We start from the raw sequence: 25,168 nt of genomic DNA, 5'->3' as shown, positions 1-25,168 counted from the left end.
CAAAACGTGCTGCTCTGCGTGGCTCGAAGCTTCGTGGGGAGACGTGGGCAGAGCCGTGGCTGACTCACAGACCCCCCACCCCAGAGCCTGCCCTGCCCTCCCTGCCCCGACCCTTCTCCCTCCTGACCCATGTGTTTTTTTTTTTTTTTTTTTTTTTTGAGACAGAGTTCACTCTTGTTGCCAAGGCTGGAGTGCAATGGCACGATCTCGGCTCATGGCAACCTCCGCCTCCTGGGTTCAAGCGCTTTTTCCTGCCTCAGCCTCCCGAGTAGCTGGGATTACAGGCGTGCACCACCATGCCTGGCTAATTTTGTATTTTTAGTAGAGACAGGGTTTCTCCATATTGGTCAGGCTGGTCTTGAACTCCTGACCTCAGATGATCCGCCCGCCTCGGCCTCCCAAAGTGCTGGGATTACAGGCATGAGCCACCACGCCCAGCCCTGACCCATGTTTTGAACCAAATTCCAGCCACCCTTTTATCTGCAAGCATTTTGGAGGGCATCGCAATACTGCAGACCCACCTAACACAACAGACAGTTCCTTCATGCCACCGAAGGCCTGGTGTGTTCACATTTTTGGTTTAATAGTTTGAATTAAGAGCCAAATAAGGTCCACACACTGCAATTAGTTGATGTCTTTTTTTTTTTCTTTTTTTTTTTTTTTTTGAGACGGAGTCTTGCTCTTGTCTCCAGGCCGCAGTGCAGTGGCATGATCTCAGCTCACCGCAACCTCCGACTCCCTGGTTCAAGCGATTCTCCTGCCTCAGCCTCCCGAGTACCTGGTAGCTGGGTTTACAGGCATGCACCACCGTGCCCAGCTAATTTTTGTATTTTTAGTAGAGACGGGGTTTTACTGTGTTGGCCAGGATGGTCTCGATCTCCTGACCTCGTGATCTGCCCACCTCGGCCTCCCAAAGTGCTGGGATTACAGGCGTGAGCCACCGCACCCGGCCAATGTCTTTTAAAAATATATACTTTTTTTTTTTTTTTGAGACGGAGTTTCGCTCTTGTTGCCCAGGCTGGAGTGCAGTGGCGCGATCTCACCTCACGGCAACCTCCGCCTCCCGGGTTCAAGTGATTCTCCTGCCTCAGCCTCTCCAGTAGCTGGGATTACAGGCATGTGCCACCATGCCTGGCTAATTTTGTATTTTTAGGAGAGACGGGGTTTCTCCACGTTGGTCAGGCTGGTCTCAAACTCCTGACCTCAGGTGATCCGCCTGCCTTGGCCTCCCAAAGTGTTGGGATTACAGGTGTGAGCCAACGCGCCCAGACAAAAATATATGTGTGTCTTTAAGGCTGGTCAAGCAAAGCAGTAGGACTGGAGAAAGAATGAAGAATTCTACCTGGCTGTGATCAATTCGTTGTGAACACCACTGTGCTTGGACCAGCTAGCTGATGTCTTTTGTTTTGTTTTGTTTGAGACGGAGTCTGGCTCTGTCACCCAGGCTGGAGGACAATGGTGTGATCTCGGCTCACTGCAGCCTCCATCTCCCGGGTTCAAGCGATTCTCCTGCCTCAGCCTCCTGAGTAGCTGGGATTAGAGGCGCGCGCCACCACGCCCGGCTAATTTTTAAAAATATTTTTAGTAGAGATGGGGTTTCACCATGTTGGTCAGGCTGGTCTTGAACTCTTGGCCTTAGGTGATCTGCTTGCCTCGGCCTCCCAAAGTGCTGGGATTACAGGTGTGAGTGATGTATTTTATTTATTTATTTATTTATTTATTTTTATTATTTGAGATGGAGTCTCACTCTGTTGCCCAGGCTGGAGTGCAGCAGTGCCATCTCAGCTCACTGCAAGCTCCGCCTCCTGGGTTCACGCCATTCTCCTGCCTCAGCCTCCTGAGTAGCCTGGACTGGTGCCCGCCACCATGCCCAGCTAATTTTTTGTATTTTTAGTAGAGACGGGGTTTCACCGTGTTAGCCAGGATGGTCTGGATCTCCTGACCTCGTGATCCTCCCGCCTCAGCCTCCCAAAGTGCTGGGATTACAGGCTTGAGCCACCGCCTGTCTTTTAAATGTCCGATGATGTCTAGGAGCTTCCCTTCCTCTCTTTTTCCTTGTGCAATTTGTTGAAGAAACTGGCTCCTGCAGCCTGGATTTCTCGCTGTGTCTTGGGGGTGCCACCTCCATGGTGTCACCTCCGTGGTGCTGTGAGTGTGTGCTTTGTGTTTCTTGTAAATTGGTCGTTGGAGCCGACATCCCATTGTCCCAGAGGTTGTCCTGGCTGGCACTGGCCTAGGTGTAGATGTCATCAGCTCAGGGCCCCCTGCTCTAAAGGCCACTTCTGGTGCTGGTTGCCACTCACCCTGGCTGGGGGTCACCTGGGTCTGCTGCTGTCTCGCAAATGCTGGGGTCCAGGACTGGGCACATCGAGGGACTTGGTAGGTGCTTGGTTCACTGATGTAAAATATAGGAGCACCCGGGGCCTTGCCCTTTCCCACCTGCATCCCTGAATGACAGGAGAGTGTGGGAGAGTGTAGGGACAGCAGGCGCAGACCCCGGGGCCCCTGCCTGGGATTGGCGTCGGGGAAGACAGGCATTCTGGAGCGACCCCTAGGCCTGATGCCTTAGAGCGCAACTGCCAGAGACACAGCTTCCTTGGGGGGCTGGCCAGGCCACGGAGGGGCCCCTGGCTCCCATTTCTGGTCCCTGGATCCTGAGAGCGAGGACTAGGGATTGTCACCAAGGCCTCCATGAGCCCTCAGCAGAAGGAGGGCCACCCTCGAGGGCTCCGTTATCACTGGAGCCCGCGTTCAACCAACACGCAGATGATTCTCCAAGGACAGAGATGGATGATGGGGAGGGGGCTGGCCTGGAAGGACCCCCAGTGCAGGTGACATTGAAGCCAGGTTTCAAAGCTCCCACAGGGAGCTGCCCAGAGAGAGTCCCCAAGGGGCAAGGTGACTCGGGGGCAGGGGTAGGGCCTCTGTCAGGAGAGCCTAGGAGAGGCCTGTGTCTTCTAGGAAGAGCCCTGGCAGCCGAGCGGAGGCAGTGGTGAGGACCTGCATCCTGCATGTCCAGCTGGCCTCACCCGGGGTCCCTGAGCCGGGTCTTACGTGGCTCCCGCACTCGGGCGTTCAGAACGTGCCTGCGTGAGAAACGGTAGTTTCTTTATTAGACGCGGATGCAAACTCGCCAAACTTGTGGACAAAAATGTGGACAAGAAGTCACACGCTCACTCCTGTACGCGATTGCCGGCAGGGGTGGGGGAAGGGATGGGGAGGCTTTGGTTGTGTCTGCAGCAGTTGGGAATGTGGGGCACCCGAGCTCCCACTGCAGAGGCGACTGTGGAGACAGAGAGCACCTGCAGGTCATCCATGCAGTATCGGCTTGCATCCAGATCATACAGGGAACACTATGATTCAACAACAGACAGGGACCCCGTTTAAACATGGACAAGGGGTCACTCACGCCTGGAATCCCAGCAGTTTGGGAGGCCAGGGTGGGTGGATCGCTTGAGCCCAGGAGTTTGACACCAGCCTGGGCAACAGGGTGAGACCCCGGTCTCTAAAAAATAAAAGAACATTGGCCGGGCGTGGTGGTATGCATCTGTGGTCCCAGCTATTCAGGAGACTGAGGTGGGACATCACTTGAGCCGAGGAGGTCAAGGCTGCAGTGAGCTGTGATCACACCACTGCACTCCAGGCTGGGTCACAGAGCAAGACCCTGTCTCAAAAAAAAAAAAAAAAAAAAAAAAAAATCACAGGATCTGAACAGAGATTTCTCCAAAGAAGACGCACAGATGGCCAACAGCGTGTGAGAAGATGGTCGGCCTCATTAGTCATGAGGGAAACGTAAATCAAAACCACTGTCCAGCCGGGCGCGGTGCCTCACGCCTGTAATCCCAGCACTTTAGGAGAGCAGATGGCTTGAGGCCAGGAGTTTGAGGCCAGCCTGGGCAACATAGCGAGACCAATAAATAGATATTAGTGGTGGCGCCTGTAGTCCCAGCTAGTTGGGAGGCTGAGGGGGGAGGATTCCCTGAGTCTATGAGGTTGAGACTGCAGTTAGCTGTGATGGTGCCACTGCACTCCAGCCTGGGCGACTAGGAAACGGTCTTTAAAAAAAAAAAAAAAAAACAGGGTGGGCGCGGTGGTTCACGCCTGTAATCTCAGCACTTTGGGAGGCCAAGGTGGGGGGATCACAAGGTCAGGAGTTTGTGACCAGCCTGACCAACATGGTGAAACCCCGTTCTACTAAAAATACAAAAATTAGCGAGGTGTGGTCGTGGGCGCCTGTAATCCCAGCTAATTAGGAGGCTGAGGCAGGAGAATCACTTGAACCCGGGAGGCGGAGGTTGCAGTGAGCCAATATCACACCACTGCACTCTAGCCTGGTCAACAGAGCGAGACTCTGTCTCAAAAAAAAAAAATGCTGAGCGTGGTGGCGCATGCCTGTAGTCTCAGCTACTTTGGGGGCTGAGGCAGGAGAATCGCTTGAACCTGGGAGGCAGAGGTCGCAGTGAGGCAAGATTGCACCATTGCACTCCAGCCTGGGAGACAGAGTGAAACTCTGTCTCAAAAAGAAAAGGTCTAGGAAGAGTCCGCACCCTCTCCCCGCGGTGGCCACGCCGGGCTCCGCGCTGAGCCCTCTGTGTTCTTGTCTCTCCATACCTCATCACGGCACCGCAGGGTTGCAGCCACTCCTGGTCTCATTTTACACACCAGGAAATTGAGGCTCTTTGAGAAGCCGTGGTGATGATTTCATCAGCATGCTCTGGGGCAGACCCCTGCAGCCGCACAGGGTGCCTGGGGCCCACACTAGTGCCCTGGTTTATAGACAGACAGAGGTGGCAGTGGCGCTTCCGAGTCGGGCTGCGATGTGCTTGCACTCCCCGAGGGGCTGAGGGGCCCTGCGCCCAGGTGCAGCTGCTTGGGTGCTGCCAGCCCCTCCCACCTCTCCCTCCCTGCCAGCCCCTCCCACCTCTCCCTCCCTGCCAGCCCCTCCCACCTCTCCCTCCCTGCCAGCCCCTCCCACCTCTCCCTCCCTGCCAGCCCCTCCCACCTCTCCCTCCCTGCCAGCCCCTCCCACCTCTCCCTCCCTGCCAGCCCCTCCCACCTCTCCCTCCCTGCCAGCCCCTCCCACCTCTCCCTCCCTGCCAGCCCCTCCCACCTCTCCCTCCCTGCCAGCCCCTCCCACCTCTCCCTCCCTCCAGCCCCTCCCACCTCTCCCTCCCTGCCAGCCCCTCCCACCTCTCCCTCCCTGCCAGCCCCTCCCACCTCTCCCTCCCTGCCAGCCCCTCCCACCTCTCCCTCCCTGCCAGCCCCTCCCACCTCTCCCTCCCTGCCAGCCCCTCCCACCTCTCCCTCCCTGCCAGCCCCTCCCACCTCTCCCTCCCTGGCTCATCCCTGCTGTGTCCCTTCTCTCTAGTTTCCTGTTCAGTTTCAGGAAGGAGGCTGGGAACCCAGATGTAGGGAATTTGCGCCCTGGAGTCAGACCTGGGTTCACGTCCCAGCGCCTCCACCTCTGGTGTGACCTTGGTCCAGTCTCTCAGCCTCAGTTTCCTCACCTGTAAAGTGGGCTCCATGATTAGATGCACCCTGCAGGGCAGTGTAGCAGTGACCTGGCTCAGCCACTGGCAGCCCCAACAATCATACCTTGTTAAAGTAGCTCTGTCGGTTCCCTCAGGGGTTCCGGGGGCCCATTCCCCTGTCCTCCATGCACTGTGAGACCTGCCCTGCCACAGAGCAGAGTGTAACAGCCTGAGGGTGAGAGCCAGACACTGTGCCTGTGCTTAGACCAGACACTGGACGACGGGAGCCAGTGCAGCCTGGGCGGGTGGACTCCTATGGACCCCTCAGCACCCAGCCTCGGTGCCTTCAGCGCAGGGCCGCGTGGCTGTGGGGGCTCACAAGACCCGGCCCACTCCTGCTTGTGCCTACATCTGGGTGTTTGCCCATTGGTGCCTTTTGACGCGTTCTGGTGTGTGTGAGACGTGCGGGGCTGGGAAGTGTTGGCAGAGCCGCGAGTACCGTCCTCACTCCTTTTGTTCTTTTGACGTAAGCTGGCGAGTGGCACTGCCTGAGTTCCGCTCAGTGCCCGCCCTGATGTGCGGACCCCGCTGCATTCTTGCTGTTAGGTGGTGGCGGTGTGCGCTGTCGCTGGTGGGCACCGAGAGTCTTTGGGAGCTTTGGGGAGGTTGTGCCAAGCCTGAGCCTCGACGTCCCCCTTCCCGGCTTTCTGTTGGCTCTTCTGAGGCCAGGGCATCTCTATGAGGGCCTCCTGCTGGAGCCGTCTCTGTGGATCTCCTCTGCCATCCTGGCCCATGAGTGGGTGATGCGCTGGCCACCATCTGGTGACAGTGGCCGGGCACCGCTGCCAAATGTGGGTCCCGCATCTGCAAGCCCCTCCCTGGGTCCCCTAGGGTATGGGGTGGTTCTGCCACTGCCCTCGCTCCCCCACCTTGGGGTGCCTCTCCCCCTGCTCGTGGGGGAGACCCTGCCTGGGATCTGCTTTCCAGCAAGGAATATACTTTGGAGGGAGACACACATGTTCTTTTCTGGAGCTCTGCAGTGGCCACGGCAGCCCAGCCCGCCAAGCACCCTGGAATGAAAACATCCCGCTGCTGTCTGGGCCTGGCCTGCACTCTGCTGCCTGCGCTCCAGCTGGCTGAGGCCGGGCACGTCTGCGGGCACAGCAGCGGGGGCGCCACAGTCTCCCTGCAGAGTGAGCGCAGCTGGAAAATGCAGCTCACGCCCTTTCCCAGAACACCTCGCTCTTCATGGCTTGGCAGCTGTCCTTGCCTAGGGGCCAGGGTGCCCAGGCACTGGTGGCAGGAGAAGGGCTACATCTGGGGCTGAGGCGGGCTGGGTCCTTTTCTCCCTGCAGCTCCCGAGGCCCAGCCCTGGCCCAGCCTGGCATTCCTGACCTTAGCAGCGCCATGATCTGAAGACAGGCTGGCTTCTGTGAGGCCACCTCAGAAAGGGCTTTGTGCCCAGGCAGAGGCGGAAGCCAGCTCTTCCTTCTGGTTGAGGCAGGAATGAGGCCAGCGCTGGGGCAAGCCCATGCCCAGGGAACGTCACAGCTGTGGGAGTACAGGGGCTCCGGGTTCTGAGCCCGTCCACTGTGCATCGTGGCCCTGGCCTCAGGATGGCTCGTACCATCATTGGCTGTGCCCACAGCCGAGTGGGTGATGGGATTCCGGCTGCCCCGCTGGATCTGTGCTGCTGCCCTCTCCAGGGCACTGCTGTGCCCGCACAGCCGGGCGCAGATGGCCAGTTTGCTTGCCCCCCCCCCCACCATCCTCTTCCTACCTTGGCTTCCTCCATTGACACACTGGACCCTGCTGGCTGCCCGGGGAGGTGTTTGGGGGATGGTGTTGGGGGAGGAGGAGGGCCCCTTGAGCCTCAGTGTGCCCATCAGGAGCGTAAGGTCAGTGCAGCACCTGCCCACACAGGCTGTGAAGGGTGGGAGTGGAGAGGGATGCAAGGGGGTCACAACGCCTGGCTCCATGTCAGCTGCGTGCAGGGGCACCAGGAGCCGGCCCTCATTCTCCCCTTGAACTGGAAGGGTGGCCCCGACCCCAGCGGCAGGTAGCATACGTATGAAGCGCTCTCCTTCCTACACCCCACAGGTGGGCTCGTCTCCAGACGGCCCTTTTTGAGCTGGCTGTGTTTTTCCATCTGTGTAGGCAAGGACATCGCAGACTCCCCTTTCTCATCTCCCTCGTTCAGCCTCCGAGGCCGGAGTCTCCATCCCTGTGCCTGCCTGTGGGTCCCGGGAGGACCTGAGGCTGCCCATGTCACCCCCGGCATCTCATCCTGGGGACAGTTCAGCCGTGGGAGGGATCTGTAAGGACAGAATGCCGCTGAGCCTGGGGCTCCCCAGCTAGTCTCACACCCCGTGTCTGGGACCCAGAGACCCTCGTGCAGGGCTCTGTTGCTTGGGGCCTGGCAGCCTCGTCCTGTATCAGAGGCTGCCACCCCCACCCCTCGTGGGGCCAGGGTTGTGGCCGGCCTCCCTGGCCCTCCCCATGGAAGTGGTAGGCGGAGCCAGCAGCCATCTGCCCAGCCCGGGGCTGCACTGTTTTTTTTCAAATGAGCACCGTCCCAAACTGCAGCCCGTTAATTTAAACAGGATCATTTCCGGCCCTGGAAGCCGCCTCACTCTCCTTAAATAGAAAGGAGCACAGCGCAGAGGGAAACAGATGAGGTCATGGCTCGGCTGGCCCAGCGAGGAAGGGGCCGCAGTGGGGGTGGCACTGCCGCCTGTCCCCTGTCCTCTCCAGCGCCCACACTGCAGCCCATTTCCTCACCCTGGGCCTGCTCTCGGGAGGGACGGGCCTGGGGGTCCTCTTGCTGGGCGGAGGGGAACCAGCTCCTCCAGGAGAGGACGGGGCCTGGCAGGGGGCATGGGGCCTCCCTGGGTCTGGCGTCCTGTCCTGCCCCTGCCGAGGGAGGAGCGGTTACATAAGCTCCGCAGGCGGCCCCTCCGAGCCGGTCCCCCCAGCCCAGTTTCCAGTGAGGCGGCCAGCGCGGGCGGGGGTGCCGGGCCTGGCGCACACCCGCTGCTGACCACACGTGTCTGGAATGTGCAGATGTTTCTTTGGGGGCTCCGTCCGGCCCCCAGACCCCACTCAGCATCTGGTCTGGGGAGTGGGCGCCTGGGGCACTCAGCTCTGAGTGTGAGACTCTGAGGCAGGTCTGGTTTGTCTGGGGCCATTCCCTCTGCTGTGGATTGGGAGGGCCCCGGGAGCTGCCCCACACCCAGGGAAGTTCTCCTCAGTCCCACTGTTGCATTCCCCGACCCCGGCTCCCCCGGCCCAGGAGCGCCTGTGGGGCAGAAGGCCCAGCCCCAAGACTTCCCGGCCCTGCCAGCCTCAGGCTTCACCCACCCTCGCGCCAACTGTGGGCAGAGCCCAGGGGGAGGGCAGGAGAGCCAGCGCCTGGCTGGGAACACCCCTGAGGGGCCGAGGCTCCAGGGCGAGGGGGCCCGACCTGGGGTTCACACGCCCGGGTGGCGGGCAGACCCGCTGCAGCATGAGACACGTGTCAGCTACCTCGGGCCGGCAGGCTGGCCCTGCTGCCCACAGCCCTGGGACGTGGCCCCACCTGTGACGGGTGTGGAGGGGCAGCCTCCAGGCCTGGCCACACCCTCTGCTGTTGCTGCTCCTGCTCCAGGATTGGCAAGGGTGCTGGGAAGGGGTGAAGACCCGTACTGTGGCCACACACCTGGGACTTCCTTCTCCACCCAGTGGTGCCCCAGCAGCCGCTAAGGAGCCCGCTGGGTCCCACGCTAGGATGGTCCTAACTCCTCCCGCCTTCCAGATCGGACGCTCGGCGCTGGGGACCCCTTGTGTCCCGGGGCTGGGGCACCGTCCTGCCCCCCATGGGGGTGTACTCCTCCCGACAAGCTTGGCTTCAGCTTCCCTGGGAGCACATCCTGGCCCTCGGGCACCCATCAGGCTGTCCCTGTGCACCTGGCTCCCACCCTTCCAGCTCATAGCAGGAACTGGGGTGAGGAGTGCGTGGGGCAGCAAGGGCCTGGGACCCCAGAGGACCCTGCACTCTGCTCTGTGCTCTTGCCTGGGCTTAGGGCCGCTCGGTGGTCCTGCTGCCAGATGCCTGGGCCCTGCTGTGTCCCCCATCCTTGCAGGGAACCAGAACGTGGGGGCAGGGCATCAGACAGCGGCGATGATGTCACCTGGCGGGTGCAGAGGAAGCCCGAGGGGCGGGGTGGGGGGGCTGGCGCGAGGCTGCCTGGCTAGGCCTTGGCGTTCCCCCAGAACGGCGATGGCAAAAGCAGATGGAGACGTGAAAAAGTACGGGAGCAAGCGAGGTGAGGACTCCACGGGGACCCCTGTGCTGTTCCCTGTCCCTGAAGCCCACACCTGAGTCCTGCCCAGGGCAGATGCTTCCACACCCAGGGGGCACCTGAGTCCTACCCAGGGCAGACGCTTCCACACCCTGGGGGCTGGGGGACTGCACCTGGCTCCTGTCTGGGCCCCAGCTTCATTCCACTGCCCTGGGCCCTGGGAGCTCGGCCGAGCGGGGTCCCCAAGACCTTGCTGCATTTCTGGGCCTTGGGCTGGGGTGAGGGCCGGGAGAAGGAGCCAGCCTGGAGCCTGGCACGCAGGGAGTGCATGGCCAGAACCGGTGACAGGCAGGGCTGCCTGCTGGCGTGGAAGAAGTGTCCATGGCACCCCCAGGCCTGGTTCACAGTGGGATGGGCGGGGAGCCGGGGGGCTCTGGGGTCCTCGGCTGACCTGCCCCCACCCCTGCCCTGGCTTGTCAGCTCCCAGCAGCAGCCACTCTTGATGGATTTTCCAGAAAATGAGGTGTGGCCAAACATCTTCAGGCTTTTCCTTCTTTCCTTTCTCCCGTGGCCTGGGTGGGAGCTGCTCCCCATGCCTGGGGGCAGGTGCGAGAGCCTGTGCCCCTCCCTGGGGCAGTTTCACAGCTGTGTCCCTTCCAGGGGGCCTGCCTGTGTTCACCGTGGCCTCTGCAGCACCTCTCGCCCCTTAGGGCTCCTGCGCCTCGGGTCCCGGTGCCTCATTTCTCCCTAAAGCATTGGTTCTGCTGCCGCCGCAGCCGCTGGAAAGTCCCTCCTCAGGTCTAACTGCAGTTCCTCACGGCACAGTGTTCCCCCTCGGGCATGGTGCTTGGGCAGTGGGTGTGAGTCCAGCTGCCTCACCCTGTCTCGAGAATGGCCTCTTGCTGGTCTCCCAGCCACCACCCTGTCCCACCCCACGGCGGGGATGGTGTGGATGCCTAGCAGCGCGGCTGTGGGCCCACCCATCCTTATGGGCAGTGGGGAGCACCTCAGCCCGTGTCCCTACCTTGGTGTAGAGGAGGGGACGGCAGAGAAGCAGGGTTCAGTTAGGGGGGAAGTGGTGGCCCTGCCGGAGGGGCCGTTCCCTGTGTGCCTGGCCCCCAGATCCTCTCCCCTCCCGGAGCCCAGGGCACAGGCATAGGCTCTCTGAGTGTCCCACAGCCCCTGGGGGAAGGGAACTGCACCCCCAACCGTGCCCTCCATCCGCAGATGGAACGAGAAGCTCCGGGAGCCAGTGCCCAGCGTCTCATCTGTCTGGGCACCCAGCCCAGGTGAGGGCCTGGCTCCACCGTCCGTGGCTGGTGCTGCTTCCTGGCACGGAGAAGGCCTCGGCTGCTCTGTCCCCTCAGCTGGGGTGGCCTCTGGTCCCCTTCTTTGTTGGTTCCCTTCTCAAGCTCTTGCCCTGGCCCCGGGCCCCACCGGGCAGCCTGTGTGTGCGTCTCTCCTGCGCCGGGTAGGCTCCTGTGGGAGCGGAGCTCCGGTGGGAGGAGCAGGGCTGGAGGCTGGCAGGGGCTGGGCGGGTGTTCAGGGATGGAGGCCGCCCCGGCTTGGGGCTGGCTGCCGGGTGGTCATTGCTGGGAAGAGCAAGTCTAGGCGGAGGCACCTGCTGGGTCACTCGTGGGGAGGGTGACACCTGGGGAAGTAGAGGCCCGTGGCAGGAGGTGAGGCCTCGGGGTCCTGGGGAGCAGGGGGGTGGTGTGCAGACCTGCGGAGCCATAGTCCTGTGCCAGGAGCACTACTGGGAGTGCGTGGGACCAGGAGGGGTGCCCAGGGTGGGCGGCAGAGTGACCCCCGAGGTGCTTGAGGCCGAGGGGAGGTGGAGTTCTCGGTTTGCCCCAGCTCTCTGTCTACTCACCTCCGCATCACCAGCTCCAGGACCTGGTTTGTAACTCGGGCAGCTCTGAAAAGAGAGACATGCTGCCGCCCTGTGGTTTCTGTTGCTTTTTCTTCACTGACTACTGACATGGGATGTTTTTCCTACGGCTGTGACCAATTGTGCTTCTTCTAATTGCCTGGTTTTTCTTTTTTTGTTTTTGGAGTTTTCTCTTTCTTTCCTCCCTCCCTCTCACCCTCCATCCTTTTTTTTTTTATTTTTATTTTTTGAGATGGAGCTTCACTCTTGCAGGATGGGGTGCTGGAGTGCAGGGGTGCGATCTCAGCTCACTGCAACCTCTGCCTCGCGGGTTCAAGTGATTCTCCTGCCTAAGCCTCCTGAGTAGCTGGAATTACAGGTGCTTGCCACCACGCCCGACTAATTCTGTAGTTTTGGTAGAGACAGGGTGTCTCCGTGTTGGTCGGTCTGGTCTTGAACTCCTGACCTCAGGTGATGCGCCCGCCTCAGCCTCCCAAAGTGCTGGGATTACAGGCAGGAGCCATTGCACCCGGCTCTTTCCCCTTCTCCTTTTCTTCTCTCTCTCCTCCCTTTCTTTCTTTTCTTTTCTTTTTTTTTTCTTTTGAGATGGAGTCTCGCTCTGTCACCAGGCTGGATTGCAGTGGCGTGATCTTGGCTCACTGCAACCTTCGCCTCCCGGGTTCACGTGATTCTCCTGCCTCAGCCTCCTGAGTGGCTGGCACTACAGGCTCCCGCCGCCATGCCCGGCTAATTTTTGCATTTTTAGTAGAGACAGGGTTTCACCCTGTTGGCCAGGATGGTCTCGATCTCTTGATCTCATGATCCACCCACCTTGGCCTCCCAAAGTTCTGGCATTACAGGAGTGAGCCACCGTGCCCGGCCATCTTTCTTTCCTTGCTTTCTCTTTGTTTTCTTTCGAGACCGGGTCTTGCTCTGTCGCCCAGGCTGGACTGCAGTGGCACAATCATAGCTCACTGCAGCCTCGACTTCCCTGGCTCAAGCGATCCTTCCTCCTCAGCCCCCCGAGTAGCTGGAACTACAGTTACACACTACCATGCCTGGCTGATTCTTTTTTTCCTTGTAGAGATGGGGTCTTGCTATGCTGTCCATCCTGGTCTCAAACTCCTGGCCTTCCCAAAGCACTGGGTTTACAGGCATAAGCCACCACACCCAGTTTCCTTTTCTTCTTTTTAACTGGAATAGTTGACGTTTTCTTTATTAGCTGTGTGTCAGGAGGGTATTTTTGGCCTTTAGTATGTCGTGTAAGTTGCTAGTGCTTTTCTGAGATTGTAGTTTGTTTTCTAATTTTATTTATATTTTGCGTAGAAGTTGTGTATTTTAGATGGAGTTAGGTCGGCTGGTCTTTGATGTTTTATTTATTAATTATGTATGTATTTATTTATTTTTGAGGTAGAGTCTCGCCGTTTCACCCAGGCTGGAGTACAGTGATGCGATCTCAGCTCCCTGTAGCCTTGACCTCTCTGGGCTCAAGTGATTTTTCTCTCCTCTACCTCCCGAGTACTTGGGACCCCAGGCGCATGCCGCCATGCCTGGCTAATGTGTATTTTTTGTAGATACGGGGTCTCACTGTGTTGCCCAGGGTGGTTTCAAAATCCTGGGCCCAGGCGATCCTTCCGTCTCAGCTCCCACGGTGCTGTGTTACCGGCGTGTGCCCCAGTGCCTGGCCGTCTTGGAGGTCTTGTTTCTCTGGGTTTATGCCTCGAGGTGGCGCCTGCTCCCCTGTGCTCCCTGGTAGCCTGGTAGTGAGCCTGCTTCTCACACAGTCATACCTGGTTGTGGTCCCACAGTGGGACCACCCTGTTGGGTTCAGAACAGGAGATGGGGGCCCCTCGAGTCTGTGTGGGGGCTGTGGACAGGGTTGGGAGACCTTGGCTCTGTGGGGGACTGTGGACAGGGGATGGGGGGCCTTGGCCCTGCGTGGGATGGGTTGGGGGTCCGTGCCCTTCCTGGCCCTGGGTGGACAGGTCCATGTGGCACTCGGCATAGGGCTGAGATGGGTGCAGAGGGCTGAGGCCCCCAGGCCTCTCCTGGCTTGGTTTCCCCAGATGAGTGTTCATTTGGGTCTTCCATCAGAAAGTCCCCTCCTGACCTCTGGGAGTGGGGAGCTCAAGGGTGGGAGGCCATAGCTTGGGGATGCTGGCAATGTGTGGGATGGGCCCAGGGATGGCCTCTGGCCTACTAGGGGCTCTGGCCCTGACCCACGGCCACTCACTCCTCAGAGACGTCTCCCACAACCTGCTCCGGGCGCTGGACGTTGGGCTCCTGGCGAACCTCTCGGCGCTGGCAGAGCTGTGAGTGTCCCCCAGTCGTGCCAGCATGCGGGGCTCACTCCGGGTGGGCTGGCGGCACCGCCTCTTGCTGCTCAGCTGTGGGGGCTTCCATCAGCTTTGCCGAATCCCCCGTCTCTTCCAGGGATATAAGCAACAACAAGATTTCTACGTTAGAAGAAGGAATATTTGCTAATTTATTTAATTTAAGTGAAATGTAAGTTGTGGTTCTTTGGGTGGGGTCCTGGCTGGACCCCAGGCCCCCAATATCCCTTCTGCCCTCCCAGTTGGTCCGTGTCCCCTTCCAGGCTTGAGACCAGATCCTGGGGGCAGTTCACTGCCTGCTTGGAGCCCCCCAGTGCCGGCTTGGTTGGGGCAGGGGAGGCGGTGCTGTCAGGGTGGCTCCAGGGCCTGGTTGCCAGTGGGGGGCTGGCATAGACCCTTCCCACCAGACCTGGTCCCCAACACCTGCCCCTGCCCTGCAGAAACCTGAGTGGGAACCCGTTTGAGTGTGACTGTGGCCTGGCGTGGCTGCCGCGATGGGCGGAGGAGCAGCAGGTGCGGGTGGTGCAGCCCGAGGCAGCCACGTGTGCTGGGCCTGGCTCCCTGGCTGGCCAGCCTCTGCTTGGCATCCCCTTGCTGGACAGTGGCTGTGGTGAGTGCCGGTGGGTGGGGCCAGCTCTGTCCTTCCCAGCCAGGTGGGACCTGGGCCCTGCAGACACTGGGCAGGGCTCAGGAAGGCCTCTCTGGGGGGGGCCTCCGGGCCAAGGGAACAGCATGGGAGCCTGTGAGTGCGGCGGGCGGATGTGGGGGCGTGGGGTGGAGCCAGGAGGAGCAGAACCCGGGGTCCAGTGGCTGCCTCTTCTAGGTGAGGAGTATGTCGCCTGCCTCCCTGACAACAGCTCAGGCACCGTGGCAGCAGTGTCCTTTTCAGCTGCCCACGAAGGCCTGCTTCAGCCAGAGGCCTGCAGCGCCTTCTGCTTCTCCACCGGCCAGGGCCTCGCAGCCCTCTCGGAGCAGGGCTGGTGCCTGTGTGGGGCGGCCCAGCCCTCCAGTGCCTCCTTTGCCTGCCTGTCCCTCTGCTCCGGCCCCCCGCCACCTCCTGCCCCCACCTGTAGGGGCCCCACCCTCCTCCAGCACGTCTTCCCTGCCTCCCCAGGGGCCACCCTGGTGGGGCCCCACGGACCTCTGGCCTCTGGCCAGCTAGCAGCCTTCCACATCGCTGCCCCGCTCCCTGTCACTGCCACACGCTGGGACTTCGGAGACGGCTCCGCCGAGGTGGATGCCGCTGGGCCGGCTGCCTCGCATCGCTATGTGCTGCCTGGGCGCTATCACGTGACGGCCGTGCTGGCCCTGGGGGCCGGCTCAGCCCTGCTGGGGACAGACGTGCAGGTGGAAGCGGCACCTGCCGCCCTGGAGCTCGTGTGCCCGTCCTCGGTGCAGAGTGACGAGAGCCTCGACCTCAGCATCCAGAACCGCGGTGGTTCAGGCCTGGAGGCCGCCTACAGCATCGTGGCCCTGGGCGAGGAGCCGGCCCGAGGTGAGTGTCTGCTGCCCACTCCCCTTCCTCCCCAGGGCCATCCAGATGGGGCAGAGCCTGGTACCCCCGTCTTGGGCCCACACTGACCGTTGACACCCTCGTTCCCACCGGTCTCCAGCGGTGCACCCGCTCTGCCCCTCGGACACGGAGATCTTCCCTGGCAACGGGCACTGCTACCGCCTGGTGGTGGAGAAGGCGGCCTGGCTGCAGGCGCAGGAGCAGTGTCAGGCCTGGGCCGGGGCCGCCCTGGCAATGGTGGACAGTCCCGCCGTGCAGCGCTTCCTGGTCTCCCGGGTCACCAGGTGCCTGCCCCCACCCCCCGAGGGGCCATAGGTTGGGAGATCTCTGAAGCACTGGGGCAGAGCCTGCGGCTGGGGAGTCTCAGGAGGAAGGAGGTGGGAGCTGGGCCGGCCCTGGTGAGCAGGTGGCGCCGGCCGGTGGGGCCGTTCCTGTCAGCTCTGCAGATGCAGAGGTGGACATGAGCTGGGGGCAGCCTCCGGACACTCCTGGGCACGCCATACGGGAGGTGGCCTGCACGGGGATCCCTGCCGGTACCCACAGGCCCCGTGGGTGGGTGCTGCTGTGAGCCTGGGCTGGTGGGCCCTGGTCTCCGGGCTCTGAGCCTCAGTTTCCCCATCTGGAAAGGGGGACAGTGATGGGGCTCCCAGCGGGCTGCTGTGAGGGTGGGAGGATGGAGGAGTGCCCTGAGCCCCCTGCCATCCCACACCCGCCCCCAGGAGCCTAGACGTGTGGATCGGCTTCTCGACTGTGCAGGGGGTGGAGGTGGGCCCAGCGCCGCAGGGCGAGGCCTTCAGCCTGGAGAGCTGCCAGAACTGGCTGCCCGGGGAGCCACACCCAGCCACAGCCGAGCACTGCGTCCGGCTCGGGCCCACCGGGTGGTGTAACACCGACCTGTGCTCAGCGCCGCACAGCTACGTCTGCGAGCTGCAGCCCGGAGGTGTGCGGGGGGCCAGGCAGGGGCCTGAGACGCTGGCTGTGGTTAGGGGCCTGCCGAGCGCCCGCGGTGGAGCCTGGGCTGAGGAGGAGGGGCTGGTGGGGGGGTTTTCGGGCGGCTCGGTCCCCAGTCTGTTCGTCCTGGTGTCCTGGGCCCTGGCCCGGCGCCTCACTGTGCACTCGCCACCCCAGGCCCAGTGCAGGATGCCGAGAACCTCCTCGTGGGAGCGCCCAGTGGGGACCTGCAGGGACCCCTGACGCCTCTGGCACAGCAGGACGGCCTCTCAGCCCCGCACGAGCCCGTGGAGGTAGTCGGCCCCCCACGTTCTACAACCTGCCCTCCTGCCTGCCCCTGGAGGCCTTGCCTGCCCTGCCCACTGTGGGTCTCGCCAAAAAACTTGGGGGCCTTAATGTTGCTTGTGCCCAGTGAAGATGGTTGGGAAAATCCAGAGTGCAGAGAGGAAAGCGTTTACTCACATTACCTCCAGGCCTTTTCTCTGAGCGTGTGTGAGTTATTCCTGAAAGGCAGGTCAGGGGTCCTGCCCCCCATGGACAGTTTCCACCGGAGTCTTCCTCTCGAGCGACAGGAGCCAGGCCTGTGGGGGTCTGATGGCTCGCTCTCCTTCCCTCCCCTCTTCCTGGGAAGTTCGGGTAGGGGGAGTCTGGGCTTCAGGCTGGGATGGGGTCTGTGGAGCTGAGGCGGCCCCCTGCCCACCAGGTCATGGTATTCCCGGGCCTGCGTCTGAGCCGTGAAGCCTTCCTCACCACGGCCGAATTTGGGACCCAGGAGCTCCGGCGGCCCGCCCAGCTGCGGCTGCAGGTGTACCGGCTCCTCAGCACAGCAGGTGGGACTCTGGGTGGTGGGTGGTGGGTGGTGGGCGCCGCAGGACTCGGGGTGGCCTCTCTGAGCTTTCACGTCTGCTGGTCCTGTGGCCACCAGAGTGGTTCCCAGTCTTAGGTGGACAGAGCAGGGGTTCCAGAGACACCAGCTCATTCCAGGTGTCCTGGGGGTGGATTGGGTGGGGCCTGCCTGGGGGCCGGCCTGGGTCAGTCGGCTGGCCGGAGACGGACGCAGCACTGGGCTGGGAGTGCTGCCCAGGTGGGGAGACCTGTCCTCACAGCAAGGCCAGGATTGCTGGTGCAGGCAGTTGGGCATCTCTGACGGTGGCCTGTGGGCAAATCAGGGCCCCAACACCCTCCCCTCCTCACAGGGACCCCGGAGAACGGCAGCGAGCCTGAGAGCAGGTCCCCGGACAACAGGACCCAGCTGGCCCCCGCGTGCATGCCAGGGGGACGCTGGTGCCCTGGAGCCAACATCTGCTTGCCGCTGGACGCCTCCTGCCACCCCCAGGCCTGCGCCAATGGCTGCACGTCAGGGCCAGGGCTACCCGGGGCCCCCTATGCGCTATGGAGAGAGTTCCTCTTCTCCGTTCCCGCGGGGCCCCCCGCGCAGTACTCGGTGTGTGGCCCTGACCTGGGTCTGTTCCCTGCATCTCCTCAGGCCACCTTCCTGTCTGCTGCCCAGGGTCTGGGTCTGTGCACCAGACACACCCAGCCTGCAGGCCCCTCCCACGTCCTTGCCACCTCTGACCTCCGACCTCTGCAGTGCCCTCGGCCCTCTCCCAGTGGGAGAAGCTCTCGCCTGGGCCCTTGGCACGAGCTGTGCCTCCTCTTCCTCTCTCCCAGCACAGCTGCTCCTTCCTGTCTGCCAGGTCTTGGCCTGTGTCCTCTCCCCGTGTGTCCCCCGGTCTGCAACTGTCCTGCCTGTCCTTGTCACGAGCACTGTGGGGAGGCTCCTTGAGGTGTGGCTGACGAAGCGGGGAGCCCTGCGTGTCCACCCTCATCCGTCGTGCGGGGGTCCACGGGCCATGACCGTGAGGACGTGATGCAGCCCTGCCTCCCTCTCCACAGGTCACCCTCCACGGCCAGGATGTCCTCATGCTCCCTGGTGACCTCGTTGGCTTGCAGCACGACGCTGGCCCTGGCGCCCTCCTGCACTGCTCGCCGGCTCCCGGCCACCCTGGTCCCCGGGCCCCGTACCTCTCCGCCAACGCCTCGTCATGGCTGCCCCACTTGCCAGCCCAGCTGGAGGGCACTTGGGCCTGCCCTGCCTGTGCCCTGCGGCTGCTTGCAGCCACGGAACAGCTCACCGTGCTGCTGGGCTTGAGGCCCAACCCTGGACTGCGGCTGCCTGGGCGCTATGAGGTCCGGGCAGAGGTGGGCAATGGCGTGTCCAGGCACAACCTCTCCTGCAGCTTTGACGTGGTCTCCCCAGTGGCTGGGCTGCGGGTCATCTACCCTGCCCCCCGCGACGGCCGCCTCTACGTGCCCACCAACGGCTCAGCCTTGGTGCTCCAGGTGGACTCTGGTGCCAACGCCACGGCCACGGCTCGCTGGCCTGGGGGCAGTGTCAGCGCCCGCTTTGAGAATGTCTGCCCTGCCCTGGTGGCCACCTTCGTGCCCGGCTGCCCCTGGGAGACCAACGATACCCTGTTCTCAGTGGTAGCACTGCCGTGGCTCAGTGAGGGGGAGCACGTGGTGGACGTGGTGGTGGAAAACAGCGCCAGCCGGGCCAACCTCAGCCTGCGGGTGACGGCGGAGGAGCCCATCTGTGGCCTCCGCGCCACGCCCAGCCCCGAGGCCCGTGTACTGCAGGGAGTCCTAGTGGTGAGTATGGCCGAGGCTCCACCACCAGCCCCCAGGCAGGTGCCTGCAGACAGGGTGCTCACACAGGGCGTGAGGCCTGGCTTCCCAGTGAGGGCAGCAGCCCAGTTACTGGGGACGTCGGCCCCGGGCAGGTCCTGCTGGCTGGCTCCTCGGGCTACCTGGTGGGCTTTAAATTCCTGGAAAGTCACGGCTCTGACAGTGGCTCCGCTAACTCATTCCACTGTCTCATTTCACAAAATGAATTTAAAACTCTGCTCCCTGACCTCACACGAGCCCCCGTGAGTCTCTCACGCCCTCTGCTGTGTTCTCGCCTGGCTAAAGCGAGTGGCTTTTGAGGTGGAGTCTGAACCCCTGATGGGAAACTGCGGGCTGCCCGCGGTGCCACCATGCTGGGTACATGGGGGACAGGGCTGTCTCCATCTTGCGGGTACCTGCCTCTTCACCAGGGGCCTTGGGAGGGGCCATCAGAAATGGCGTGACCTGTGCAGCCTGTCCTGGGTTCTGTAAGCCAGTGTAGGTGCCTCCCCTCACTGCTCCGAGCTCTCTGGGTGAGGAGCTGGGGCAAGAGCGCCGGGAGGGTCTGAGAAGACTCAGAGAGAGGTGGACTCTTTGTAGCTGGTACTAGGTTTGCTTTACAGATGGGGAAACTGAGGCACAGAGAGGTTGAGGCATTAGTAGTACTACATGGCTGGCTGGAGAGCCGGACAGTGAGTGTCCCAGCCCGGGCTTGGCTCCCATGGCATGCAGAGCCCCGGGCACCTCCTCTCCTCTGTGCCCCGCGTGGGACTCTCCAGCCCGACGGGAGGTGTGTCCAGGAGGCGACAGGCTAAGGGCAGAGTCCTCCACAGAGCCCAGGCTGACACCATTCCCCCCGCAGAGGTACAGCCCCGTGGTGGAGGCCGGCTCGGACATGGTCTTCCGGTGGACCATCAACGACAAGCAGTCCCTGACCTTCCAGAACGTGGTCTTCAATGTCATTTATCAGAGCGCGGCGGTCTTCAAGCTCTCAGTAGGTGGGCGGGGGTGGGGAGGGGAGGGGATGGGGCGGGGCAGGGCGGGGGCGGGCTCCACCTTCACCTCTGCCTTCTGCTCTGCTTCATGCTGCCCGAGGACGCTGCCATGGCTGTGGGTGAGTGGAGGGAGGGACGCCAATCAGGGCCAGGCCTCTCACCTGCCACCTGGGCTCACTGACGCCTGTCCCTGCAGCTGACGGCCTCCAACCACGTGAGCAACGTCACCGTGAACTACAACGTAACCGTGGAGCGGATGAACAGGATGCAGGGTCTGCAGGTCTCCACAGTGCCGGCCGTGCTGTCCCCCAATGCCACGCTAGCACTGACGGCGGGCGTGCTGGTGGACTCGGCCGTGGAGGTGGCCTTCCTGTGAGTGACTCGGGGGCCGGTTTGGGGTGGGCACCAGGCTCTTGTCCCAGCCCCAGCCTCAGCCGAGGGACCCCCACATCACGGGGTTGCTTTTCTGAGCCTCGGTTTCCCTGTCTGTTGGGAGGTAACTGGGTGCACAGGAGCCCTGAGGCTGCACGGGAGCCGGGAGAGGCCTCAGCACAGCCGGGTGGGCCCTGAATGGAGGCCCGGGGCGTGACTGCAGAGTGGAGCCTCGGCTGGGTCCCAAGCACCCCCTGCCCCGCCACCGCCCACCCCTGTCCCGGTTCACTCACTGCGTCCCACCGCCCCGGCAGGTGGACCTTTGGGGATGGGGAGCAGGCCCTCCACCAGTTCCAGCCTCCGTACAACGAGTCCTTCCCGGTTCCAGACCCCTCGGTGGCCCAGGTGCTGGTGGAGCACAATGTCATGCACACCTACGCTGCCCCAGGTGAGGGATGAGGGGGTGAGGGGGCCACTGCCTTTCAGGCTCTGAGCACGGGGTCCCCCCAGCTCCCCAGTCAAGCTGCCCCCCTTCCTCCCCAACAGCCCTCACTGTGACCTCACCTGGGCTGATGGCTTAGGCCCCTACTGGGGTGAGGGAGGGGCCAGGCGTGGGGGGAGTGGACAGGGAAGCTGGGCCCCTGAACTGCGCCCCCCGCCCTCCCCGGGCCTGGCTCTTGCTGCTCTGCTGCCCCGAGTGCAGCTGCACTTGGAGGCGGTGCCGTCCTCGCCAGGCAGCCCTCAGTGCTGCTACACCTGTGCTCCGTCCCGCACGTGGCTTGGGAGCCTGGGACCCTTAAGGCTGGGCCGCAGGTGCAGCCGTTCACCCCGGGCTCCTCAGGCGGGGGGCTTCTGCCGAGCGGGTGGGGAGCAGGTGGGGGTGCCGCGGCTGCCCCACTCGGGCCTGTCCCCACAGGTGAGTACCTCCTGACCGTGCTGGCATCTAATGCCTTCGAGAACCTGACGCAGCAGGTGCCTGTGAGCGTGCGCGCCTCCCTGCCCTCCGTGGCTGTGGGTGTGAGTGACGGCGTCCTGGTGGCCGGCCGGCCCGTCACCTTCTACCCGCACCCGCTGCCCTCGCCTGGGGGTGTTCTTTACACGTGGGACTTCGGGGACGGCTCCCCTGTCCTGACCCAGAGCCAGCCGGCTGCCAACCACACCTATGCCTCGAGGGGCACCTACCACGTGCGCCTGGAGGTCAACAACACGGTGAGCGGTGCGGCGGCCCAGGCGGATGTGCGCGTCTTTGAGGAGCTCCGCGGACTCAGCGTGGACATGAGCCTGGCCGTGGAGCAGGGCGCCCCCGTGGTGGTCAGCGCCGCGGTGCAGACGGGCGACAACATCACGTGGACCTTCGACATGGGGGACGGCACCGTGCTGTCGGGCCCGGAGGCAACAGTGGAGCATGTGTACCTGCGGGCACAGAACTGCACAGTGACCGTGGGTGCGGCCAGCCCCGCCGGCCACCTGGCCCGGAGCCTGCACGTGCTGGTCTTCGTCCTGGAGGTGCTGCGCGTTGAACCCGCCGCCTGCATCCCCACGCAGCCTGACGCGCGGCTCACGGCCTACGTCACCGGGAACCCGGCCCACTACCTCTTCGACTGGACCTTCGGGGATGGCTCCTCCAACACGACCGTGCGGGGGTGCCCGACGGTGACACACAACTTCACGCGGAGCGGCACGTTCCCCCTGGCGCTGGTGCTGTCCAGCCGCGTGAACAGGGCGCATTACTTCACCAGCATCTGCGTGGAGCCAGAGGTGGGCAACGTCACCCTGCAGCCAGAGAGGCAGTTTGTGCAGCTCGGGGACGAGGCCTGGCTGGTGGCATGTGCCTGGCCCCCGTTCCCCTACCGCTACACCTGGGACTTTGGCACCGAGGAAGCCGCCCCCACCCGTGCCAGGGGCCCTGAGGTGACGTTCATCTACCGAGACCCAGGCTCCTATCTTGTGACAGTCACCGCGTCCAACAACATCTCTGCTGCCAATGACTCAGCCCTGGTGGAGGTGCAGGAGCCCGTGCTGGTCACCAGCATCAAGGTCAATGGCTCCCTTGGGCTGGAGCTGCAGCAGCCGTACCTGTTCTCTGCTGTGGGCCGTGGGCGCCCCGCCAGCTACCTGTGGGATCTGGGGGACGGTGGGTGGCTCGAGGGTCCGGAGGTCACCCACGCTTACAACAGCACAGGTGACTTCACCGTTAGGGTGGCCGGCTGGAATGAGGTGAGCCGCAGCGAGGCCTGGCTCAATGTGACGGTGAAGCGGCGCGTGCGGGGGCTCGTCGTCAATGCAAGCCGCACGGTGGTGCCCCTGAATGGGAGCGTGAGCTTCAGCACGTCGCTGGAGGCCGGCAGTGATGTGCGCTATTCCTGGGTGCTCTGTGACCGCTGCACGCCCATCCCTGGGGGTCCTACCATCTCTTACACCTTCCGCTCCGTGGGCACCTTCAATATCATCGTCACGGCTGAGAACGAGGTGGGCTCCGCCCAGGACAGCATCTTCGTCTATGTCCTGCAGCTCATAGAGGGGCTGCAGGTGGTGGGCGGTGGCCGCTACTTCCCCACCAACCACACGGTACAGCTGCAGGCCGTGGTTAGGGATGGCACCAACGTCTCCTACAGCTGGACTGCCTGGAGGGACAGGGGCCCGGCCCTGGCCGGCAGCGGCAAAGGCTTCTCGCTCACCGTGCTCGAGGCCGGCACCTACCATGTGCAGCTGCGGGCCACCAACATGCTGGGCAGCGCCTGGGCCGACTGCACCATGGACTTCGTGGAGCCTGTGGGGTGGCTGATGGTGGCCGCCTCCCCGAACCCAGCTGCCGTCAACACAAGCGTCACCCTCAGTGCCGAGCTGGCTGGTGGCAGTGGTGTCGTATACACTTGGTCCTTGGAGGAGGGGCTGAGCTGGGAGACCTCCGAGCCATTTACCACCCATAGCTTCCCCACACCCGGCCTGCACTTGGTCACCATGACGGCAGGGAACCCGCTGGGCTCAGCCAACGCCACCGTGGAAGTGGATGTGCAGGTGCCTGTGAGTGGCCTCAGCATCAGGGCCAGCGAGCCCGGAGGCAGCTTCGTGGCGGCCGGGTCCTCTGTGCCCTTTTGGGGGCAGCTGGCCACGGGCACCAATGTGAGCTGGTGCTGGGCTGTGCCCGGCGGCAGCAGCAAGCGTGGCCCTCATGTCACCATGGTCTTCCCGGATGCTGGCACCTTCTCCATCCGGCTCAATGCCTCCAACGCAGTCAGCTGGGTCTCAGCCACGTACAACCTCACGGCGGAGGAGCCCATCGTGGGCCTGGTGCTGTGGGCCAGCAGCAAGGTGGTGGCGCCCGGGCAGCTGGTCCATTTTCAGATCCTGCTGGCTGCCGGCTCAGCTGTCACCTTCCGCCTGCAGGTCGGCGGGGCCAACCCCGAGGTGCTCCCCGGGCCCCGTTTCTCCCACAGCTTCCCCCGCGTCGGAGACCACGTGGTGAGCGTGCGGGGCAAAAACCACGTGAGCTGGGCCCAGGCGCAGGTGCGCATCGTGGTGCTGGAGGCCGTGAGTGGGCTGCAGGTGCCCAACTGCTGCGAGCCTGGCATCGCCACGGGCACTGAGAGGAACTTCACAGCCCGCGTGCAGCGCGGCTCTCGGGTCGCCTACGCCTGGTACTTCTCGCTGCAGAAGGTCCAGGGCGACTCGCTGGTCATCCTGTCGGGCCGCGACGTCACCTACACGCCCGTGGCCGCGGGGCTGTTGGAGATCCAGGTGCGCGCCTTCAACGCCCTGGGCAGTGAGAACCGCACGCTGGTGCTGGAGGTTCAGGACGCCGTCCAGTATGTGGCCCTGCAGAGCGGCCCCTGCTTCACCAACCGCTCGGCGCAGTTTGAGGCCGCCACCAGCCCCAGCCCCCGGCGTGTGGCCTACCACTGGGACTTTGGGGATGGGTCGCCAGGGCAGGACACAGATGAGCCCAGGGCCGAGCACTCCTACCTGAGGCCTGGGGACTACCGCGTGCAGGTGAACGCCTCCAACCTGGTGAGCTTCTTCGTGGCGCAGGCCACGGTGACCGTCCAGGTGCTGGCCTGCCGGGAGCCGGAGGTGGACGTGGTCCTGCCCCTGCAGGTGCTGATGCGGCGATCACAGCGCAACTACTTGGAGGCCCACGTTGACCTGCGCGACTGCGTCACCTACCAGACTGAGTACCGCTGGGAGGTGTATCGCACCGCCAGCTGCCAGCGGCCGGGGCGCCCAGCGCGTGTGGCCCTGCCCGGCGTGGACGTGAGCCGGCCTCGGCTGGTGCTGCCGCGGCTGGCGCTGCCTGTGGGGCACTACTGCTTTGTGTTTGTCGTGTCATTTGGGGACACGCCACTGACACAGAGCATCCAGGCCAATGTGACGGTGGCCCCCGAGCGCCTGGTGCCCATCATTGAGGGTGGCTCATACCGCGTGTGGTCAGACACACGGGACCTGGTGCTGGATGGGAGCGAGTCCTACGACCCCAACCTGGAGGACGGCGACCAGACGCCGCTCAGTTTCCACTGGGCCTGTGTGGCTTCGACACAGGTCAGTGCGTGGCAGGGCCGTCCTCCATGCCCCTCACCCGTCCACACCCATGAGCCCAGAGAACACCCAGCTTGCCACCAGGGCTGGCCCGTCCTCAGTGCCTGGTGGGCCCCGTCCCAGCATGGGGAGGGGGTCTCCCGCGCTGTCTCCTGGGCCGGGCTCTGCTTTAAAACTGGATGG

General features: G+C 63.1%; 1 protein-coding gene and 1 non-coding gene across 13 annotated transcripts in view, besides 3 other annotated features; one reads left to right on the top strand and one right to left on the bottom strand.

Annotated features, from left to right (window-relative positions):
* PKD1 (polycystin 1, transient receptor potential channel interacting) overlaps positions 1-25,168 on the top strand; it is a 47,191-nt gene that overhangs the window by 2,659 nt on the left and 19,364 nt on the right. For 2 of the 12 annotated variants that reach the window (XM_047434208.1, XM_047434211.1), the window contains exons 2-17: positions 13,862-13,933; positions 14,055-14,126; positions 14,395-14,564; positions 14,778-15,449; positions 15,568-15,751; positions 16,187-16,407; positions 16,596-16,711; positions 17,122-17,248; positions 17,615-17,862; positions 18,095-18,205; positions 18,315-19,070; positions 19,948-20,079; positions 20,175-20,198; positions 20,277-20,452; positions 20,767-20,900; positions 21,369-24,988. In XM_047434208.1, coding sequence (XP_047290164.1) covers positions 13,862-13,933; positions 14,055-14,126; positions 14,395-14,564; positions 14,778-15,449; positions 15,568-15,751; positions 16,187-16,407; positions 16,596-16,711; positions 17,122-17,248; positions 17,615-17,862; positions 18,095-18,205; positions 18,315-19,070; positions 19,948-20,079; positions 20,175-20,198; positions 20,277-20,452; positions 20,767-20,900; positions 21,369-24,988 — 6,835 coding nt within the window. Of the gene's footprint in view, positions 1-9,048; positions 9,454-9,720; positions 11,041-13,861; positions 13,934-14,054; positions 14,127-14,394; positions 14,565-14,777; positions 15,450-15,567; positions 15,752-16,186; positions 16,408-16,595; positions 16,712-17,121; positions 17,249-17,614; positions 17,863-18,089; positions 18,206-18,314; positions 19,071-19,947; positions 20,084-20,174; positions 20,200-20,276; positions 20,453-20,766; positions 20,901-21,368; positions 24,989-25,168 lie in introns of those variants that run through there. The other 10 variants (XM_011522529.3, XM_011522528.4, NM_000296.4 and 7 more) reach the window with 8 other exon arrangements.
* MIR4516 (microRNA 4516) lies at positions 36-121 on the bottom strand. The gene has a single exon (NR_039741.1). It is a non-coding gene; the product is annotated as a microRNA 4516 (primary transcript).
* Positions 4,549-4,658: an enhancer, noted in NCBI's record as "active region_10254". NCBI's record gives its function as "activates an Ori minimal core promoter by ATAC-STARR-seq in GM12878 lymphoblastoid cells {active_cell/tissue: GM12878}" and the evidence as "EXISTENCE:reporter gene assay evidence [ECO:0000049][PMID:35858748]".
* Positions 6,843-7,684: an enhancer, noted in NCBI's record as "H3K27ac-H3K4me1 hESC enhancer chr16:2175557-2176398 (GRCh37/hg19 assembly coordinates)". NCBI's record gives its function as "activates a minimal SCP1, AML or CMV promoter by ChIP-STARR-seq in primed H9 embryonic stem cells {active_cell/tissue: H9 hESC(primed)}" and the evidence as "EXISTENCE:reporter gene assay evidence [ECO:0000049][PMID:30033119]".
* Positions 8,527-9,368: an enhancer, noted in NCBI's record as "H3K27ac-H3K4me1 hESC enhancer chr16:2173873-2174714 (GRCh37/hg19 assembly coordinates)". NCBI's record gives its function as "activates a minimal SCP1, AML or CMV promoter by ChIP-STARR-seq in primed H9 embryonic stem cells {active_cell/tissue: H9 hESC(primed)}" and the evidence as "EXISTENCE:reporter gene assay evidence [ECO:0000049][PMID:30033119]".

The sequence above is a fragment of the Homo sapiens genome, chromosome 16, assembly GCF_000001405.40.
Source record: "Homo sapiens chromosome 16, GRCh38.p14 Primary Assembly".
In the NCBI taxonomy this organism is placed as follows: domain Eukaryota; kingdom Metazoa; phylum Chordata; class Mammalia; order Primates; family Hominidae; genus Homo; species Homo sapiens.
The sequence above is the reverse complement of the archived record's forward strand: the minus strand, read 5'-3'. Positions and strand labels throughout refer to the sequence as shown.